Source organism: Homo sapiens, chromosome 14 (assembly GCF_000001405.40).
Source record: "Homo sapiens chromosome 14, GRCh38.p14 Primary Assembly".
Lineage (NCBI taxonomy): Eukaryota > Metazoa > Chordata > Mammalia > Primates > Hominidae > Homo > Homo sapiens.
Window position 1 is genome coordinate 89,365,263 of NC_000014.9, and position 22,010 is coordinate 89,387,272.

Sequence of the window (22,010 nt, forward strand, 5' to 3'; positions counted from 1 at the left end):
TACTCAGTATTTGTTTGGGTTGAAAATAGTTATTTTTTTGTACTCTCTACACTATTGTTTCCCAAGTGCCAAAAGCAGTCAAGAGCTAGCACGCTAACAACGATCAATCATAAAATGATCATGAAAACATCCAAATTATATTGACTTTGAAATACTGTCAAACTCTACACTGCTAAGTTCTAATAAAGAAAAGGAAACAGAAACACACCCCTCATACTCCAAGTCAGAAGGCCAAAGAGGTGGCATCTTTAAAATCACTATCTAGCTAAATCGGTTTTATCCAACTAAATCTTAGGATCCTCCCAAATTAGTTTTACCACTCTGTCTTGGGAGGGCCTTTAGCAAATAAGGGTTTAACTCTTCTTCTCCATCTGAAACCTCATCGCATGACATAGGCTGACTAAAAAGGGTAGAGGCACAGAAGCATTTAAAAAAACTTCAAACACATGCAAAACACACAGGAAGCTAAAAAGCGGATCGTTTTATATACTTCTAATAGCTGCCATGCTATGCCACTTCAAAGAGTCAAACTATTACTCAAATGAACTCAATATATTATGTGGCATGAAGCCATAAACTCTCACGTACACACAAAGTACACATGGAGAGATTTTAAAATTTAACATGAAAGTTAAATAATTATTACAGAGAAACATAAAGTAACTAGAATAACTAACATAAAGTTATTCTGTAATAACTTTATTATAGGCCGAGCCCAGTGGCTCACGACTGTAATCCCAGCACTTTGGGAGGCCGAGGCGGGTGGATCACGAGGTCAGGAGATTGAGACCATCCTGGCTAACATGGTGAAACCCCGTCTCTACTGAAAAATACAAAAAAATTAGCCTGGTGTGGTGGCGGATGCCTGTAGTCCCAGCTACTCGGGAGGCTGAGGCAGGAGAATGGCATGAACCCGGGAGGCGGAGTTTGCAGTGAGCCGAGATTGCACCACTGCACTCCAGCCTGGGCGACAGAGCGAGACTCCGTCTCAAAAAAAGAAAAAAAAAAAAACTTTATTATAGAAAAAAACATGCACATTTGAAAAGTTTTGTCTCCTGATAGGAAACAGGAATGTACAATGATGTGGTAAACTTGTCTGGAACGTGGGCATGTTCCTCTTTTTTTCTAACAGTTGTTTGTATCACACCCACAATCTTAAAGTCGAAATTGCATAAGCAAATTACAAAGAGGATAAATGGTAAAGTAAAAGACATACATTAAATTGCCCTCTTCGTGCCTTTTTTAAAAAAAAGTTTGAAAGGCAAGCTGACAGTGCTAGTAGGGATGAGGGGAAATAAAATTCACCACTCATTGCATTTACATAAATAATGTGTTTAAATACATAAATATTCATTTTTAAAGCTCAAGGCCTAGTAAAAGAATTTCTAAGCATATTGAATGAAGTGGAGGGGGCAGCTGACAGCCAGCTCTGACTTCAGGCTGCAACTGGGCGCGCACTCCTTCCAGTACCTCCACTTTCTTTAAGGTGATTTCCATGCTGCACACAGTAACAAACGAGTCAGGTTTTATGGACGGCAATAAAGGTAACGTGGGCCTGACACATGGATGCCCTTGGTTGGATTACAACTGGCCCACCTACTGCCACTTTATCTTCTGGTTGTCCGTAGTTACTCATCTATTTTTAAATGTTCCAATGTGATCTTATCAAATTGGCACATAATTTGATCACCATATTTCCATAACTGGAAGTTGTTCAAAGTACCTGGCCAGGTAACAGTGACAGGGTGTGTGTACTAAGCCAGAGAGCTTCAGTTATGATTTTTTTATTTTAATAAATAATCATGAGCCCTTCTCTCTCAGTGAAACACAGACACTGGGTTGTTTGGTGTTTGTTCTTGCGGAGTGGCCATTGGCCACGAGATCACCAGTCACCCATCTTCCCTAATTTTCAACAGGGAACTTTCCTGGGAGTTCCTGGGTTGTGAGCCTGGCTTTTAGCCACAGCATCCGGCCAACCAACACATCCACTTTTAAGGAGACACTGCCTCTACAGTGCCTCTCAATTCTAGAACAAGCACTCACTCCAACCATGAAGCAGATCCCTTTCAACAAAGGGTGTCTAACACCGACTGCACCCTGATGTGGCGGCACCCGGCTCCAAAGATAAATCCGAAACCATCTCCGACCCACATGTGAGAAGCTGCAGGGACCAAATAACATTGTCAGTGTTATCGATTCCTCCAGCGTTCTTGTCAGCGCTGGGTAAGATATGGACAAAGCACCCGGGAACCAGAGGATATGCCCGAGGTTGCCAGGGAGAGGACAGGGGTGCCAGGGAAAACTGCAGGTAAGAGGCTGCCAGACCAGTGCTCCAGCGGGAACACAGGGTCAGGGAGACAGAACGGGGGTTGGACGCAGGGGATAAATTCACACTGTGATTCACGGGTAGGGGGATGGAGGAAAAAATTAAACAAACAGAATCTACCCAGAAAGACCAACTGACCTGGCCCCTGGGAACAGTGGCAGCAACCACGTGGAAAAGGCACTGATGCCTGAGCTATCTGTCCCAGTGGCTGTCCAGAGAGCCAGGGCTCAGCAAGCCGGCCTCCTGCCCCAGAAACCCTCCCCTCGTCTCCCAGAGGCCTATGGTAGAGAATTTAAAAGGTAAATGACTCAACCCAAGCATCGTATCTTCCTCAATCCCAGCATCCCATGCTCCTCACCAATTATGTTCCTGTGAGATCAAAAGGTAGGAGCTGCTGACCTCGGCAGGTGTGTGTCTACCTCAGAAACTGCTGAGTTCTGCTATCAAAACGAATCCCAGGCCGGGCACAGTGGCTCACACCTGTAATCCCAACACTTTGGGAGGCCGAGGCGGGTGAATCACTTGAGGTCAGGAGTTCGAGACCAGCCTGACCAACATGGTGAAACCCCGTCTCTACTAAAAAAATACAAAATTAGCCAGGCATGGTGGCACATGCCTACAATCCCAGCTACTTGGGAGGCTGAGGCAGAAGAATCGCTTGAACCCAGGAGGCGGAGGTTGCAGTGAACCAAGATCACCCCATTGCACTCCAGCCTGGATAAAAAGAGTGAAACTCTGTCTCAAAAAAAAAAAAAAAGAACACCGAATCCCTGGCCAGGCACAGTGGCTCATACCTATAATCCCAGCACTTTGGGAGGCCAAGGAGGAAAGATCACTTGAGCCCAGGAGTTCAAGACCAGCCTGGGCAACATAGTGAAACCCAATCTCTAGAAAAAATGCGAAAAAATTAGCCAGGCCTGGTGGTACACGCCTGTAGTCCCAGCTACTCAGGAGGCTGAGATGGGAGGATCACCTGAGCCCAGGGAGGTCAAGGCTGCAGTGAGCCATGATTGTGCCACTGCACTCCGGCTTGGGTGACAGAGTGAGACCCTGTTTCAAACGCAAACAAAAGACAAACCTGAACCCCAGTCACTAAGGTATTCACCTCAGCTACTACAGTGACCTAGAAGATTTACACAGGGTCACAGGGGCAGCTGGGATAGCATACCTGTTTCTAAAGCCTTCTCAGCTCAGCTGAGAACTCACTGCAACCTGGGGCACAGAACAGTCCTCCTGAGAGTCAACCCAAAGCTCATCCAGTTAATTAATAACTGACGTGATAGCCAACGAGAGGGCTATGGGAGAGAAACTCCGCCAGGGGTTAAGAGTTACTTGATTAGGAAGCATAGGGGAAAAGATCCCTGGCTGAACAAACACTTTACACAGTGCGTTTCATCTGACAATGCCGAAGTGCCCTCTGGCCACCATGTCATGAGTCCTGAGCTGGGCCTCAGGAAAGACTCCTAGAGCCACTCTACCAATCTTCCTGGGGGAGGGGAGAGGCAGAGAAGCTTGATGCGTTATCCAGGAACACACATGGATACTTCCCAACCACACTCTCAGACCGTGCTTCAATTATTGATTAGGATTTCCAAAAACAGCCAGCTTTTGATTATCTGTGGAGACTTTATACATAAGAAATTTTTAACTCACTCATTATACTGCTGAGTCACCTGGCCTAAGTGTCAGTCCAGCTTGGAACTTAGAGTACACACAAACATCTTTAGTAGCAGTGATAGTAGCAGCAACAGCAGCACTGGCAGTAGTAACTATTCATATTAACTTACAACCGACCATGTGCCAAGCACCAGCCAAAACATTTTACGTACATTATTTATTTCACTTAATTCTACCAACAAATCTAGAAGAGAGATAGTATATGTTATGATCCTACAGATAAGGAAAGGTTATTAGTCCATTCTCATGCTGCTGACAAGGACATACCCAAGACTGGGTAATTTTTTTTTTTTTTAAAAAAGAGGTTTAATGGACTCACAATTCCACATGGCTGGGGAGGCCTCACAATCATGGTGGAAGGCAAAAGGCATGTCTTACATGGCAGAGAACAAGAGAGAATGAGAGAGCTTGTGTAGGGAAACTCCCCTTTACAAACCCATCAGATCTCATAAGACTTGTTCACTATCATGAGAACAACACAGGAAAGACCTGTCCTTATGATTCAATTACCTCCCCCTAGGTCCCTCCCCACAACACGTGGGAATTATGGGAGCTACGATTCAACATGAGATTTGGGTGGGGACACAGAGTCAAACCGTATCAGAAAGTAAAGTTCAGACAAGTTAACGAATTTGTCTAAGGTGAAATGCAGGCAGCTTGATTCTGGAATTGATAAACACCACTGCATAGCTGCAACAAAAACTGTATCACTTCCAAGTCAAATCACAAATAATTTTGGATTATCCAACTGCACTAAAATGTACATCCTTGAACAGCAGTGTCACAAAAATGCTTTCTAATACTGTGTGTGCACACACGTTTTCTTTAATTATTCATTTCAGCTAAGAATGAAAGTCAAAGTCACTATTGTCTTTATTACAACTTTGTATTTGTGCTGCTGGCATGTGACCACATATGCAGAAAAAAAATCATCTGTTTGTACACCACATTTCAAAGAGTGATCAAATATCTCAGGTGGCCCTAAATAACTCAGTGAAGGAATTTGAGATTATTAAAGCCATTTATAGCTACAAAAATGGTCTCTGAAAGGACACAGGCTTTCCCAAGATCACAACCAGCAAGAGGCAGCAAGAGGCAGAGCCAGGCTTCAAACCTGGGTCTTTGGGGTTGCCCCCATGACAAAATTCAGCCCTCTAGAAATATTTTCAAATAGGTTGGGATGGTTCAGAGGGTTCCCACGGCTGCACAAAGGGCTGTACCAAAACACACAGAATCCCAAAGAGTGGGAAACTCATGCACATCTGTGCCCATGCTGACAGTCTCCCCAGCAAGCGGAAGCCAAGGTTTCTGAATTCACTTGGCAAGAAGCAGGTTCTTCAAAGTGTGTGCTACTTTAGAAATGTTTAAAGGGAATAAGCAGAGAAAGAACTTTGGTTTGATGCGCATGTTCCAAAATGAATGAGAGAAAGCTAGAGCCCAGTGTCATTCTTCTGGAATTATCTACACTGGATTTGTTTGGCAAAACACACAGAGCCGTAAATTACACTCAACTCCGGATAGGGTCTGCATGGCCCGTAGGGTCCATCTACCCCAGTGAGGACGTAACTTCATTTCTGGTGGTTACCCCCTTTAAGTACATAATGAAACTTGTAAGTACACAGAAGGCACTGTTATCAACCTTTTAAGGCAACAGAAAGGAAAGTACTTTGAGTTTTCCAGCAGTGCAGCGGTTCCCCAACACAACAACAAAACCGTGCGTCTATTTCAGCACCACTGTCTTTCCCTATGTGGCAGTCCTAGGGACAACTCACGGCTTGCTTATTCTTGAATGGTAAGCAGCTTTCTTACAAAGTTTTGATTTTATTTTTTTTAAGGGTTCACTCTGATCACTGAAGCCTGAGTCAATCTGAACAGTAGCACCCAAGAGTCACCAGGGTCAGAGAGGCTGCGAAGAGGCTCACTGATCAGAAAGGCCAGCTCTGTCCTCTTCCTGCCCGAAAGTGGCCCGGGGAGGAAGGTGGGGGCTCTTAACTTTGGGAGGGATCTCTTCTGATTTTGTACCCTCTTCCAATGATGGGAAAGTAACTATCAAGTGCTTGAAAATAAAGACTATCAGAATACAACCGAGAAGAGTCTGGGGTTCTGTTTAGGCTTTTTAATTAAAGAAAGATCCTTAGATATTAAACCAACCAACAATCCAAGAAAACCTCCCATCATGACCCACTTGGCCACCAGAAGCCTCATTCATCTTGTGTGCCCGGCATTAAGCACACAAATCTACTAGATATTCAAGGCACATGGGAACTGCTGCAACAGCTGTTGGTCCTCTCCCCAGTCTATATTATGTACGTGTGCTGGATATATTCCACCTGCCCCGCAGAGCACCTCTTTAGCCTCCTCCTGCCTGCTCCTAGCCCCAGGAGACTGACATTTATGGATGCATCTACAGGCTCCCCTGCTCATGGACTTCCACCAAGCTCCACCAAAGGGAGGCACCAGAGCAAGCAGAGAGGGGAGGAGGAGAGTGAGGATAAGAAAGTTAACCCCCTGACTCCCTCTGTGCTGGGCTGCAGTGAGTGAGCTGCACCCTGCTATCAAAGACCATGACCCCCACCAGACACCCATTAGCCCAGCTACTTTCTCCTCTGGCATCTATTATCTGCTCTTCTCCTTCACCCGTTCAGGTCCCGGGGGGATGGAAGTTCCCTGGGGGTAGCCTGCCATCCTCATCCTGGGGGAGTGCACCCCCGGCTTTGCTAGTTTCTCGCATCCCTGCCTACCACTGAGAACTCATCCTCTCCCCACAGTTTCTTCTTTCTGAGTGTGCCATCTGTCTTCTGCCAGGACCGTGACTGACAAAATAAAAAACGGAATTGATTATCCCAGAATTTCATTCTTGGAATCTACATGCCACAGTATGTACATAATAATTCCCCTGCAATTTCCCCAAGTCATAAAGGATAGCAATCAGGCAGGAAAAAAAAATATGCCACCGAAACTACCATAATAATTTACTATCCTGCAAAACTTGAAAAAACAGAATTCATCTTCCTAAAAAGCACAGTAAGCTTTGAAACATGAAAACTCGATTACAGTATTAGAAAAGTATGGTATTACTAAAAATATTCTCTGTAGAATTCCTTGTAAGTGCATCATCAATGGTTACTATTATGTTTCAGAGTCAGTCTAAACGCACATAAAAATTGCAAATAGGACAACAGTGTCAGTGAGGCTTCCAATTTGACAACAGCTGACTGAAACAAAATCTTACCTGAGCCACTATATAGAGTTGATATTAACTACATTTATTATAACAGGAATTCATTTATTGTAACAAGAGCACCATACAACCAAACTTTCCAAGAGTTTAAGACTTAACAGTCAACCTCATCCTGAAGACCACTGTTGTTATTTACTAGGTCAGGGTAACCCACAGGAAATTAAAACAGGAACCAAAGTTTCAAATTTAAAAACTATGCGCTGTCTCATGGGGTAAAAAAAAAAAAAATCTCCAGCAAACCTACAAGATATAAAACAAAAAACACCACACTAATAACAATATGCACTGATACTCTTTAATCGCTGAGGGAACTATTCAAATCCAGGTCAATATCACAATGTTAAAAATAAAATTTAAAATGGCTTTCAACAAGTTAAATGTAGGCTGGTGCAGTGGCTCACACCTGTAATTCCAGCGCTTAGGCCAAGGCGGAAGGATCGCTTGAGCCCAGGAGTTCGAGACCAGCCTGAGCAACATAGGAAAATCCCATCTCTACCAAAAATTTAAAAACTAGCTGGGTGTCGTGACGCAGGCCTGTGGTCCCAGCTACTCAGGAGACTGAAGTGGGATGATCACTCAAGCCCAAGAATTCGAGGCTACAGTGAGCCATGACTGCACCACTGCACTCTGACCTGGGCAACAGAGCGGGACCCTGTCTCAAAAAAAAGAAAAAAAACAATTAAATGTAAACCATGTGTTACCAATATATTTTTAAAGACACTGAAAGCGTGTTTCAATCAGGGTTCTATAAGGAACAAGTCTGTAAGACTTCTTCATCTAAGGCCAAATGATCAAGTGAAAGCTATCACAGCTTTCCAAGACCTGAGTTCTATAGTGGGGTGCTGGTTACCTTCCCAGGGTTTTGGCCTGTTGCTACAGGTCCTGGAGTTATAGCATTTCAGAGGAAGTATTTTGCAACAAGTATTAAGAGAGGGAGCACGTAAGCAGAAAGTCTTTTTGGGGTGGGGGTGGGGGGAGACCAATGATGAGATCCAGGTAACAGCAGCCTTAACTCTTTTCTGTAGCTTTCCCATACAGCACAAAGCAGTGACCATTTTACATTTATTTGTGAGGTTGTGACTAATGTCTATGCCCTCTAACTAATACGTTAGCTCTATGAAGTTAGGGGCTGTCTCTGTGTTTGCTCATGACCCAGGGCCTAACACAGTGCCTGGCACACAGTAGGTGCTTAATAAATTCTCCAGTCATCTAAACCACACCTTTAATAGTAGGATTGAGGAAAGTAAAAGTTTGATAGGTCACTACATATACTTTTTAAGAGATTTTTGTCTTTGGAACTAGTAAAAGTTTTACTATTCAAACTAAAAATTAAGTCAAAGGTAAGTAATACAAATTAAAATAAGATACAACTACATACCACTGGAATGGCAAAAATGAGAACACTGACAATACAAAGTGCTGTTCAGATTGTGAAGCAAGCAAGCAAACATTCACAAATAGTAAGAATGTAAACTAGGGCCAGGGGTGGTGGCTCATGCCTGTAATGCCAGCATTTTGGGAGGCCGATGCAGGAGGATTGCTTGAACCCAGGAGTTCAAGATCAGTCTGGGCAACACGAGGAAACCTCATCTCTAGAAAAAATACAAAAATTAACGGCATGATGGTGTGCGCCTGTGGTCCCAGCTATTTAGGAGGCTGAGGTGGGAGGATCACCTGAGCCCAGAATGTCGAGGCTGCAGTGAGCCATGACTGTGCCACTGCACTCCAGCCAGGGCAACAGAGTGAGACCTTGTCTCAAAAAAAAAAAAAAAAAAAAAAAAAAAGAAGGAAGGAAAGGAAAAGAAAAAGAAAAAGAGAAAAGAATGTGAACTAGTACAACCACTTTGAAAAACAGTTGGACAATTTCTTATAAAGTTATACACATACTTGTATGACCCACCAATCCCACTCCTGGGTATTTCTTCAAGAGAAACGAGCTCACATATCCACATAAAGACTTGTAAAAGAATGTTTAGAGCAGCTTTATTCATAACATCCAAAAACTAGAAATAATACAAAACCCATCAGAGGGCCACTAGACAGACAAATTATGGTATGTTCATAAAATGGAATACTACTCAACAATAAAAAGGAATGAACTCCTTACTGATACACACAACATGTATGATTCTCAAAAACATTATGCAGAGTAAAAGAAGTTAGACATAAAAGTATACTATTCTTGCCGGGCGTGGTGGCTCATGCCTGTAATCCCAGCACTTTGGGAGGCTGAGGCACGCAGATCACAAGGTTAAGAGTTCGAGACCAGCCTGACCAACATGGTGAAACCCCATGTCTACTATAAATACAAAAAAAAAAAATTAGCCAGGTGTGGTGGCGCACGCCTGTAATCCCAGCTACTCAGGAGGCTGAGGCAGGGGAATCGCTTGAATACAGGAGGTGGAGATTGCAGGGAGCTGAGATCACACCATTGCACTCCAGCCTGAGTGACAGAGTGAGACTCCGTCTCAGAAAAAAAAAAAAAAAAAGTACTATGTTATGATTGCATTAATACGAAATTCTAGAAAAAAACTAATCTACAGGGACAGAAAGTGGTCACACCACTTCTGTGGCTGCCTGAGGGTTTTGGTGGAGGGGTAGGAGATTGACTTGACTACAAAGGAACTGAAGGAAAACTTTTCATGATGAAACTGTTCTATATCCTGACAGTAATGGTGGTTACAGAGGTATGTACATATTAGTCAAAATACTTTCAATGGGTATATTATTTTTCACTAATCCCTCTGTTCATCGTCAAGTATATGTTGTTATTATATGTAAATTATGCCTCAATGAAGTTTTTTTTAAAAAAGCAAACCACAAATTTAAATTTTTTTAAGAAGTACACAAAATAACCTAACTAAAAAAGCAAGTTTGCAACATAACCTCACCAGAAAAAAAACTCTTTCATACCACATTTTAATTCAATACTGATTATGTATCCTAGTAGATGTACATCCATATACTACAGATGAAATTGAACTACAAAGAAATATTGTTTCAGCCAGACATGTATTACTAATAGCAAGACAGTATAATTTTGAAACTATTTTATGCACATTATAGAATAAAGCAAATAAATGTGTTCACAACATTAATAGTATTAAGAACCAAGCAAAGAGATATAAATACAAAATCAAAGATTGCTAAGAAAAAACTCAGTAACATTAAATGTGAATTGGCAATAGCAATATAAATTCATGAAAATAATAATACCCCAGCTATAATGAATACACCCAGTGTCCAGTTTCGGTTTATCTTATTTTATTTTATTTTTTTTGAGACAGAGTTTTGCTCTCGTTGCCCAGGCTGGGATGCAATGGCGCAATCTTGACTCACTGCAACCTCCCTCTGCCCCCAGCCCCCCAGATTCAAGCAATTCTCCTGCCTCAGCCTCCCAAGTAGCTGAGATTACAGGTGCCTGCCACCATGCCTGGCTAATTTTTTTGTATTTTTAGTAGAGACAGGATTTCACCATGTTGGCCAGGCTGGTCTCAAACTCCTGACCTCAAATGATCCACCTGCCTCAGCCTCCCAAAGTGCTGGGATTACAGGCGTGAGCCACCACACCTGGCCTCCAGTTTCAGTTTTTAAATACCATTCTCCACTGAAAGGAATCAGGGCTTTTTGGAGAAATGGATGATCTCATGTCTGGATATGAAAAGTGTAAGATGAGTCCAGAACTTTTTTTTGTGCAAGAAAGTACTTAAAGACTAAAAGGAGTATGTTCAAAGGACAAAAGAAGCAGCTTAAAGGGCCTCAATGGCCAAATTTAGGATAATTTGAGCATCAAAACAATTATTATAATTGATTATAAAACAACTGACTAAATAAAAACCCATGAGTCCATAGTGATAGTCACAGACAGATATTTATTTGCCACCATTAGAGGCGATTATTACACCAACTCTTTTTTGTAAAAATTGGTCATTATAGTTCCTTTTCAGGAATATCAACTAATGATAGAATTAGAAAAATCACCATTTTGCAACTTTCGGTAAAATAATTCAGGCAAGAATCATCAATGGTTATGCACACAGTGCCCAAGTATCTCTCCGTAGGCTATGTGCTCATTGCCAAAAACACACCTTCCAATGGAGAGATCAGCATGACCACCCTTGGCCGCTGATCAGACTTAGCGTCACTAACAGTGGACAACCTGGTGAGACATAATGGTTTAAGAAGCACCCAGCATTGCCTGGCAATTGTTTAAATAAGCTTGAGCTGCCGGGTGCAGTGGCTCACACCTATAATCCTAGCACTTTGGGAGGCTGAAGCGGGTAGATCACCTGAGGTCAGGAGTTCAACACCAGCCTGGCCAACATGGTGAAACCCCGTCTCTACTAAAAATACAAAAATTAGGTGGGTATGGTGGCAGGCGCCTGTAATCCCAGCTACTCAGGAGGCTGAGGCAGGAGACTTGCTTGATTCTTGAACCCGGGAGGCAGAGATTGCAGTGAGCCGAGACTGCACCATTGCACTCCGGCCTGAGCAAAAGATCAAGACTCTGTCTCAAAAAAAAAAAAAAAAAAAAAAAAAAAAAAAAAAGCTTGAGCCTACATAAGCATTTGGATCTGACTTCCATGGGACACAAGGCAAGGTGAAAGACACCACAAGGAAATAATCCATCAAATTCAGGATGTGGGCATTCCACAAAACAACTGGCCTTGACTGTCTCAGAAAAAAGAAAAAAAGTCGGTGTCATCAGAGGGGGAGAGGAAAATGGGAAGATCATTCCAGACTAAAGAGATTAAAGAGATATAAAAACCAACAGCAGTGCCCACATCTTCACTGGATGCTGGTAAAAAATAAATAAATAAATAAATAAATAAATAAAGGTCTTAGTGGACAACTGGAGAAATCTGAATATGGACTAGATGACAGACATCGAACTGAATTATTTGAAACTTTCTTAGGTGTGACAATAGCGTGGGGTTATAGAAAAGGATGTCTTTGTTCTGAGCTTCATGCTGAAAAGTTTACAGGTGAGGTGCCATGATGCCTAAAACTTTGTTTTCATCAGTTCATATAATCTACACATAAAGAGGAGGCAAATACAACAACATGTTAACAATTACTCATTGCTATTCTTGCAACTTTTCTGCATGTTTGAATTTTCTCACAGTAAAAAATAAGAAGGGAAAAGAAAGAAGCAGAAGATAAATGACCATCTGTAAAACCTTATTGCAGAGAGAACCTGCCCTCTACCCATCTCCACAGGTGTTACAAAATGAACTGCACAACTCGTATGTTGAAACCAATTCACGTGTTGAAGCCCTGGCCCCGAGTACCTCAGAATGTGGCTCTATTTTAACACAGGGTCTTAAACAAGTAATTGGGAAAATGAAGTCATTAGGGTGACCCCTAATCCACTATGACTGGTGTCCTTCTAAGAAGAGGTTTGGACACAGACATACACAGAGAAGACCATGTGGAAGACATGTGGGGAAGGCGGCCGTCTGCAAGCCAAGAAGAGAGGCCTGCAAGAAACCAACCCTGCTGACACCTTGATCTTGGACTTCCAACATCCAGAACTGTGAGAAAATAAATTCCTTTTATTAAGCCAACCAGGCTGTGGTACTTTGTTATGTCTGCACTAGCACAGTAACATCATGATAGGGAAGATTTCCAGCAAAAGGAGAAAGATGGTTCCCCTAATCCAAAAGGAAGAACAGCTTTTGCTACCTTGTGCATATTATCCATTCATTGATACAGAAAATCAAGAGCTCCCAGGATAGTACGTGAGTGTGCATGTAGGGGGTGGGAGCTAAGATAGCTACTCAGGATGATGTCATGTCTGCACCATCAGCTGGGGAATACCCAGACATGCTGGAATCACAGGCTCTCTCTCGTGCACCCACAGGACTCCTTCTCTCAGAGCCAGACAGGTCTGGGGACAGCCCTTGCTGCCTGGATGATATCCTGGGAGAGATGCTTAAAACGCCCAAGTCTGCCTGCTGTAAGTGATCTGACATTGGATTTTTCATCGCTGAGCAGAAACGTTTCAAATATATATTAAAGTCATTTCTCCTTGACATAAAAGAAACATTCTCAGGCTTATCATGATAAGAGGGGACAATTTAAATATTTCTTTAACTGTGTGCATTTTCTCCCTTTTGGAACAAAAAAAATGCAAATAAAAACTAGGAAGAAAGGAGAAAGGCAGGGAAAATGAGGTCACATTGAATCTCTTTTTGCACTTTTTTTTTTTTTTTTTGAGACAGAGTCTCACGCTCTGCAGCCCAAGCTGGAGTGAGTGGTGCAACCTCAGCTCACTGCAACCTCTGCCTCCCAGGTTCAAGTGATTCTCCTGCCTTAGCCTCCCGAGTACCTGGGATTACAGGCACACACCACCACGTCCAGCTAATTTTTGTATTTTTAGTAGAGACAGGGTTTCACCATGTTGGGCAGGCTGGTCTCAATCCCTGGACCTCAAGTGATCCACCTGCCTTGGCCTCCCAAAGGGGTGGGATTACATGCATGAGCCACTGTGCCTGGCTCACACATTTCTTGAATCATGCCCAGGTTATGAGAATAGAGGGTCAGGGCCAGAATCTTGGAATATGAGTTCTAGAAAGGGTTTTCGTGATACCCTGGCTGGCTTTCTTCACTTGGCATTTAAGGAAACTAAACTCAGACGGGAAGAGCTTGCCCAAGAGCATGCAGCTACTGGTCTGGCTGTGTCTCCTCGGTGCCAGCCATGCAGGCCTCTCCCCATCTGACCTTCACTCGGGGACCTTCCCTGGCTGTGCTGAAACCCATGGCTTCATGAGTTGTGCTGAGCCCTCCCCAGTCGACAGTGGTGAAGATCGAAAGATTTTGCTGGATTCTAGACCGTGGTTTCTCAATCTCAGCCCTATTGGTATTTGCGGCCGGGTAATTCTTTGCTGTGTGGGAGCTGTCCTGTGTATTGTAGGACACTGAGCAGCATCAATGGCCTCTACCTACTGGATGCAGTAGACCGCTCCCCCGACAATCTCACAACCAACTCCAGACCTTGGCAAGTGTGCCCTGGGGAGCAAAATCACCTTCAGTTAAGAACCACTGCTCCAGAGCATGAAGAACTACTCAGCTTTGGCAGAAAGGGAATCCCAAAATATAAGCTCAATTCATTTTATTTTATTTTGTTTTGTTTTATTTTTATTTTTCATTATTATTATTGAGATGAGTTTCGCTCTTTCGCCCAGGCTGGAGTGAAGTGGCACAATCTCAGCTCACTGCAACCTCCGCCCTCCCTCCCCACCACCAGGTTCAAGGGATTCTCCTGCCTCAGCCTCCCGAGTAGCTGGGATTATAGGTGCCCACCACCATGTCTAGCTAATTTTTTTATTTTTAGTAGGGACAGAGTTTCACCACATTGGCCAGGCTGGTCTCAAACTCCTGACCTCAAGTGATCCACCTGCCTCAGCCTCCCAAAGTGCTAGGGTGACAGGCGTGAGCCACTGTGCCTGGCCAAGCTCAATTCAAACGCAGAATAACAGTACCTTTTCCCATACCACTGACTTCACTACTTGCAGATGACTAAGGTCTGTTCCTTGTTAAAGTCTGATATGATTTAGCTGCGTCCCCATCCAAATCTCATCTGGAATTGTAGTTCCCATAATTCCCACATGTCGGGGGAGGGACCCGGGGGGAAGTAATTGAATCATAGGGGCACGTACTGTTCTGTGATAGTGAATATGTCTCACAAGATCTGACAGTTTTATAAATGGGAGTTCCCCTGCACAAGTTCTCTCTTTGCCAGCCACCATGTAAGACATGCCTTTGCTCCTCATTCATCTTCTGCCATGATTGTGAGGCCACCCAAGCCACGCAGAATTGTGAGTCCATTAAACCTCTTTCCTTTATAAATTACCCAGTCTCAGGTATGTCTTTATTTGCAGTGTGAGAATGTACTAACACAAAGTCCTATTTCACAGGGATACCAAAGGACTTTAGTCAAGCCTAAACTCCTCAATCATGTTAACATCAAACAGCAGTCAAGCTTCCTGAGAAGAACATTTTGCACAACTCAGAAAGACCTCCATGTTGACCATGCAGTCCAGTGAGCCCGTACACCGTGCCCGTCTGTGCGCCCAGCATGAAGGCGACTGGAACCACACCCCTTATAAGTCGTATCAGCAATCACCTGCTTCTCACTCAGCATGCTGAGGCCACGCACCAGGGTGCCCACAACCCCGTCCTATAAAGAGCGGAGGCAATGACACTGTCAGCCTCACAGACCATGGGCAGTTTTCTAAGTCACATTTAGAATCACTACTGAAGATGCTTCCCCTGTGGACAAGGGGCAAAACCAGTCCTGAGATGCCCAGAGCTCTACATGTTAAGACTCAAATCAGGCCAGGTGTGGTCAGGCCAGGCGTGGTGGCTCATGCCTATAATCCCAGCATTTTGGGAGGCTGAGGCGGATGGATCACTTGAGGTCAAGGTTTCAAAACCAGCCTCACCAACATGATGAAACCCCATCTCCACTAAAAATACAAAAAGTAGCCAGGTGTGGTGGCGTGTGCCCATAATCCCAGCTACTCAGGAGGCTGAGGCACGAGAATCACCTGAACCCAGGAAGCAGCGATTGCAGTGAGCCAAGATCATGCCATTGCACTCCAGCCTGGGCAACAGAGTGAGACTCCCTCCGTCTCAAAAAAAAAAAAAAAAAAAAAAAAGACTCAAATCAAACTCAGCAAACACAGGAGAAAAGCCTCCTTCTAAGATAAATCACCACAAAGGTAACAGTCATCTTCAGATATTATTGACAAATAGCAATAATAATTGTCTACTGTGGACTATGTACTCCCAGGATTCCTTGGGTGACTCACAGGATACCTCGAACCCCGAGGCCTACAAAATCACACAGATGATAGGTTTGTTTTTAATTTTATAACTAAAGCCTTTCCAACATCTGGTGACATAACCATAAGAGCCCTCTCCAACTAATTCTAACATTGCCCGACATCCTGGCCATGTAAAGTGTGCTGCCAAGTCTGGCTAGGCCCTGCACCTGCAGCCCAAAAAAAGCCTCAAAAAGCAAAAAAAAAAAAAAAAAAAAAAGGTTTGCTTAAGTGAAGGTACAGGCCAAGTGTGCTGGCTCCCACCTGTAATCCCAACACTTAGGGAGGCAGAGGTAGGAACATCACCTGAGCCCAGCAGTTTGAGAACAGACTGTGCAACATAGAAGACCCCATCTCTATGAAAAAATTAAAAAAATTAGCCAGGTGTGATGGTGCGCACCTGTGGTCCCAGCTACTCAGGAGGCTGAGATGGGAGGATCTCTGGAGTCCAGGAGTTCAAGGCTGCACTGAGCTGTGATCATGCCACTATACTCCAGCCTGGGCAACAGAGAAGGAGGGGAGGGGAGGGGAAGGGAAGGGGAAAGGGAGGGACGGAGGGAGGGGCGGCAATGCCCCAGGCCCTTTGCTTGATCCTCTCAACTACTCCTAAGCTTGACCTGGTGTGTCTGCAGCCCACACATCTGCCTGTCAATTGATTATCCTCTCTAGATGACCCTTTGGCCCCTTGAGTCCATCATGGCCAGACCACAACCCATTCATCACCTTGCCCCACTGCTTGTCAGACCAAATCCATTCTCCTCCCTATTCCCCTCGCCTCTAAGCAGACTTAAACCTAGATTCTTACTTCCCTTCCTTGTCTGCCTACCCTATGACCCCCACAGCTATCATCAGAGCCTGTGGGTTCTACCTCTGTGACAGTAGGTCTGGTGTCACCAAGTGTACACCTTGCTGCCAACCTAATTCCATCCTTCATTATAACCCGGCTGGACCGCTGACCCATCACTCTACTTCATTATACTTCAAATCCCACTCCCACACTCCATGCCTCTCCGTGCTCCAAGCCTTCAAATGTTCCCCAGTAGAGACACAAAACACCCTCACTTCCAAGCCTGAAAGTCAAGCCCTTCCCAACATGGCACCTTCCTATCTTTCTGGCCTTCTCTTATGCCAACCCATCTCTGTTCCCTCATGTTCTCCACTTCTACAAGTTTTCTCTCCAAATGCATCTATACTCATCTGCATTGGCTCAAGCCACTGTCCCTACCCCACCCACAAATGCCCTTTCAGGTGGGGCAGGAAGCACGTGGGTTTGGGAATAGGAAGGATCTGAGTTCAGATTCTGTTCTGCTCCTTCCTAGCTGTGTCACCTGTGATCGGTTACCTAATTGCCTCTCTGACCCTCAGTTTCCTCATCCATAAAATGGAACAATCATTGCCACTTTACAGAGTGTTGAGCTCTTTAGATAACATATGAAACCGCTTGGCAAAGAGGGGATGGTGTTTGAGGCACAGAAAACACAGACAAAAGCTTGGAGGTCTCCTTGATGATGACATGTACGTGAAAGGGACGGTGAAGAAACTCCCCAGCTGGAGGAAGTGCCCTCCTGGGTCCAAGACGGGAGAAGCAGTAGCAGGAGGCTCCCCAGCAGGGATCCACCCAACACCATTCCCTCGATACTCTATTGCTCAGAACACTCAAGCAGTTTTGTGTTTGGAGCACAGTTTTGGGTGGTGTTTTTTTTTTTTTTTTTTTTTTTTTCCTTTTTTGGCTAGAGTCAGTACCATCTGTGAATTACACTGCGGTAGCCAGGTTTTTTGATAATTTGAATAAGACCTCAGGGAGTCTGAACTAAACATATGTCCCTCAAAAATATAAAGTAATTCATATGCTTTCATCTATTAATTGGGAAAATGAGCTTTTATCAATGTCTAAATGTTCACGAACAGGCAGAGAAATGTCAGGTTCTACCACATGTGACACGGCAAAAAAGACATCTTCCAATGCATGAGGCTTCTCCAGGCAGACATGAAGAGGGACACACTAGCCTGATAGAGCAGGCAAAATGACGACAAAAATCAGAGGTGAGTGTATTGCACCAAATTAGGTTGGTGCAAAAATAATTGCAGTTTTTGCCATTACTTTCAATAGTTTCCCAGAGCTGCCATCACAAATTAACACAAACTTGGTGGCTTAAATCAACAGAAATTCTCTCACAGACCAGAAGTGTGAAATCAAGGAGCCGACAGGACCTGGGGAACATCCTTCCTTGCCTCCTCCTGGCTTCTGGCGGCCCCCGGCCGATCTTGGCACTCCCTGGCTCACCCCTGCATTGGTCCAGTCTCTTCCTGTGTCATCTTCCCCACGTATCTGTTTCCTTTCCTCTCCTCTCCTCTCCTCGTAAGGGACGCTAGTCAATGACTTCAGAGCCCACTCAAATCCATTCTGACCTCATCTTAACCAATTACATCTGCAAAAACCCTATTTTTATTTTTATGTATTCATTTTTTTTTTTGAGAAGAGTCTTGCTCTGTCGCCCAGGGTGGAGTGCAATGGTGCGATCTCAGCTGACTGCAAACTCTGCCTCCCAGGTTCAAGCAATTTTTGTGCCTCGGCCTCCCGAGTAGCTGGAATTACAGGTGCCCACCACCATGCCCAGCTAAAAAAAAAATGCTATTTTAAAATAATTAGGTCACTAAATAAGACTCCAGGTGGACATGAATTTGGTGGGGGGGGACATTTCAGCCCACTACAGTGATAACAGAGAACATCAGGGGATATGCTACAATCATTAGAGCTGAAAGAACCTCAAAGGTAACCTTTTCCACAGATGTTAAACAGACTTCTTCTCTGATGCCAGCCCCAAGGGACTGGTGGTGGCTTCTGAGAATGGTGCTCACAGAAGCAGCTGAGGATGACAGCTGTGGCCAGCGATGGATGGCTGCCCTGGGCGTGGCATGTGGGAGAGGAGATCAACTCCTCACCTCTGCGCCCACCAGCCTGCTTCACTGTGCTCACTTTGCAGATATAGAAACTAAGCCTGTGAAATGCTGAAGTGATAGTTCTACTTAGTGGAAGAATCAGGACCAGAACCCAAGTCTCCTGAGTCTGCATCTGACAACCAGCTCTTCTAATACGTACCAGGAACATACAATTCTGAGTCACAGACAAGCTACTTACTATGGGCAGACACTAAAAAACAACTAATGACTTTCATTCATATAACATGGTTTCATCCACTTGGAAAACTGTTTTTGTAATCTAGATTAAAAAAAACTTCCTTTCTTCAACAAACATCAGCCCCACACCTACCACAATACCAGGAATGAGTCCTAGGAATACCTCATCTAGTTGTAAAAATATATATATAAAGCAATACAGAGATGCAGAGATAAAAATAAGCCCTGTCTTATGGTTCCACTGAGAAGAGGGACATGACCCAGCCTGAGCAGGGAGAATCATGGCAGACTTCTTGGAGGCGATGATGGCTGTCAAAGTCTACAGGATGAACAGGCCTTAGCTAGGGGCAGAGAAGGATAAGGTCATGACTAATGGCAGGAACAACAGCCTTGATGGCTCTCTGAACTGGAGCTAAGGTTGCTGTACGTGTTGTAAATTACATGGTTTTATATCCCATGGAGAAACAGCCTTACAATGAAATCTTTTTATAAACTTGCACCTGGAGATTATGTCTCTCCCCTAAGTCGGCATCTTACCAGGGAAGGAGAATTATGGAATCTGCCGAGTTTCCATTTTTGCCTTGGCTGTCAGGCACTCAATCACAACAAATATATTAGGTCAAGAATTTGGAATATTTGCTTTCCCCTCTCTCTACTGCATTTGTCTATTTTCAATTTTTACCTTAGCGACCTGATTGTGACCTATATGTCTTATGGCAAGCCCTATGAAAAGGAAGTGGGGTATAAATTATAAATGTGCCAATAAAGAATACTGGCTAATACCTACATAAACATGCTAATAAAGAATATTGGCCAATATCTATAGAGAGGGTCCGGGAGGTCTAAAATCTATAACCCTATCACCTTGAGCCTAAGTTAAGATGCCACATGGCCCATCTTTTTCAAAAGTCCAAACCCATCAACTTCAGAGAGGAAAAGGCTTAATTAATTATAGGTAAAGCCATCCGTGTCCTGAGGCAGATGAGACCAATTTCTCTCTGAATAACAAAAGCTGAGGCAAACATTTAAAAAAAAAAAAAAAAAAAAAAGGAGGGCTGGGTGCCATGGTTCACGCCTGTAATCCCAGCAGTTTGGGAGGCAGAGGCAGATGGATCACCTGAGGTCGGGAGTTCAAGGCCAGCCTGACCAACATGGAGAAACCCTGTCTCTACTAAAAATACAAAATTAGCCAGGCATGGTGGCACATGCCTGTAATCCCAGCTACCTGGGAGGCTGAGGCAGGAGAATTGCTTGAACCCAGGACGCGGAGGCTGTGGTGAGCCAAGATCATGCCATTGCATTCCAGCCTGGGCAACAAAAGTGAAACTCTGTCTCAAAAAACAAGGAGTTGGCTAACGTTCTCTCAGGCCTCTTACTGTGAGTGTACATGAGAGGGAGAAAAAAGCAAAAGAGGAGAACAAGATGAGAACTACTTACGTAACTGAGGTGTCAAGATACTGGCTGAAGGCCATCCTCACAAAGACTCACTTCTACTCACTGAGAGAATAAAAGAATTGCAGATTCAGACTCACAACGGTTCTACTCTCCAACAACTGAAAACTTGATCTCTCTTTGCTTTTGTCAACTCAGCAAGTTTATGGGTAGGTTTGACACGCAAATGCCTTCGCTGACAGCAAACAGCTCAGAGGATGCACACGGGGGAGCTCGGGAGGGTGGGTGAAAATTTCACTCTTTCTCCAGATGTAGGAGGAGCTAAGTGTTTGGGGAAAATTAACCAACCAAAAATTATTTTTTAATTGCTTCCTGTGCACAGAGCACTTGCTAAGTGCCACCAGAAATGAAATATAAGGCAACTCCCCTGACATCGAGGAGTGTGTCATCTGCTCTCTAGTGAAAGCAGGAGCACTGGAGTCAGGGACACACATGTGGTCTCCCATCTGTCAAGGTCGTCCACGGACAGCCGCAGAGGCCTGCCCTGCACAACTGCAGGAGGTGCCATTTCACAGGGCTGCAACGTGAAGTCATAGTTCTAATCCTGGCACTACTAGGCTAGGGGAACTTAGCAAGTAACTTAACCAACTTCTAAAGTGGTTTTGAGAATTGAGAGATTAGACAGGTCAGGTTAAGTAAGATAGTGCCCAACACCTAACAAGGGCTCAATCAATGCCAGCTCAACAAATCATCATCTAATTAGAGCCAAAGCACACTCTATTAGTCAGCTCAGACTACCAGAACAAAATACCACAGACTGCGTGGCTCATACAACAGAAGTTACTTTTTCACAGTTCTGGAGTCTGGGAAGTCCAAGGTCAAAGTGCCAGCAGCTTCAGTTCCTGGTAAGGACTCTCTTCGTGAGAAGACGGCTGCCTTCTCACTGTGTGCTCATGGGGACTGCCCTTGGTGTGCGTGCATGAATAGAGTGATCTCTCTTCCTCCTCTTATAAGGCCACCAATCCAATCAGATTAGGACCCCATCCGTATGGTCTCAACCTTAATTAGCTCCACATTGAGGGTTTGCGCTTCAACATATAAATTGGGGGGTGCCAGGCATGGTGGCTCACGCCTGTAATCCCAGCACTTTGGGAGGCCGAGGCAGGTGGATCACTTGAGGTCAGGAGTTCAAGACCAGCCTGGCCAACATGGTGAAACCCCATCTCTACTAAAAATACAAAAAATTAGCCAGATGTGGTGGTGTACCTGTAGTCTCAGCTACTCGGGAGGCTGAGGCACAAGAATCACTTGAACCCAGAAGGCGAAGGTTGCAGTAAGCCGAGATCGTGCCACTGCACTTTAGCTTGGGAGACAGAGCAAAATTCTGTCTCAATCAATCAATCAATCA

The 22,010-nt window shown here is 44.2% G+C and overlaps 1 protein-coding gene across 2 annotated transcripts in view, besides 7 other annotated features; it reads right to left on the reverse strand.

Annotated features, from left to right (window-relative positions):
• Positions 1-22,010, reverse strand: part of FOXN3 (forkhead box N3) — a 462,989-nt gene that overhangs the window by 209,086 nt on the left and 231,893 nt on the right. The window lies entirely within an intron of this gene.
• Positions 203-252: an enhancer, noted in NCBI's record as "active region_8860". NCBI's record gives its function as "activates an Ori minimal core promoter by ATAC-STARR-seq in GM12878 lymphoblastoid cells {active_cell/tissue: GM12878}" and the evidence as "EXISTENCE:reporter gene assay evidence [ECO:0000049][PMID:35858748]".
• Positions 18,510-18,629: an enhancer, noted in NCBI's record as "active region_8861". NCBI's record gives its function as "activates an Ori minimal core promoter by ATAC-STARR-seq in GM12878 lymphoblastoid cells {active_cell/tissue: GM12878}" and the evidence as "EXISTENCE:reporter gene assay evidence [ECO:0000049][PMID:35858748]".
• Positions 18,690-18,859: an enhancer, noted in NCBI's record as "active region_8862". NCBI's record gives its function as "activates an Ori minimal core promoter by ATAC-STARR-seq in GM12878 lymphoblastoid cells {active_cell/tissue: GM12878}" and the evidence as "EXISTENCE:reporter gene assay evidence [ECO:0000049][PMID:35858748]".
• Positions 18,870-19,069: an enhancer, noted in NCBI's record as "active region_8863". NCBI's record gives its function as "activates an Ori minimal core promoter by ATAC-STARR-seq in GM12878 lymphoblastoid cells {active_cell/tissue: GM12878}" and the evidence as "EXISTENCE:reporter gene assay evidence [ECO:0000049][PMID:35858748]".
• Positions 20,741-20,810: an enhancer, noted in NCBI's record as "active region_8864". NCBI's record gives its function as "activates an Ori minimal core promoter by ATAC-STARR-seq in GM12878 lymphoblastoid cells {active_cell/tissue: GM12878}" and the evidence as "EXISTENCE:reporter gene assay evidence [ECO:0000049][PMID:35858748]".
• Positions 20,861-20,910: an enhancer, noted in NCBI's record as "active region_8865". NCBI's record gives its function as "activates an Ori minimal core promoter by ATAC-STARR-seq in GM12878 lymphoblastoid cells {active_cell/tissue: GM12878}" and the evidence as "EXISTENCE:reporter gene assay evidence [ECO:0000049][PMID:35858748]".
• Positions 21,291-21,390: an enhancer, noted in NCBI's record as "active region_8866". NCBI's record gives its function as "activates an Ori minimal core promoter by ATAC-STARR-seq in GM12878 lymphoblastoid cells {active_cell/tissue: GM12878}" and the evidence as "EXISTENCE:reporter gene assay evidence [ECO:0000049][PMID:35858748]".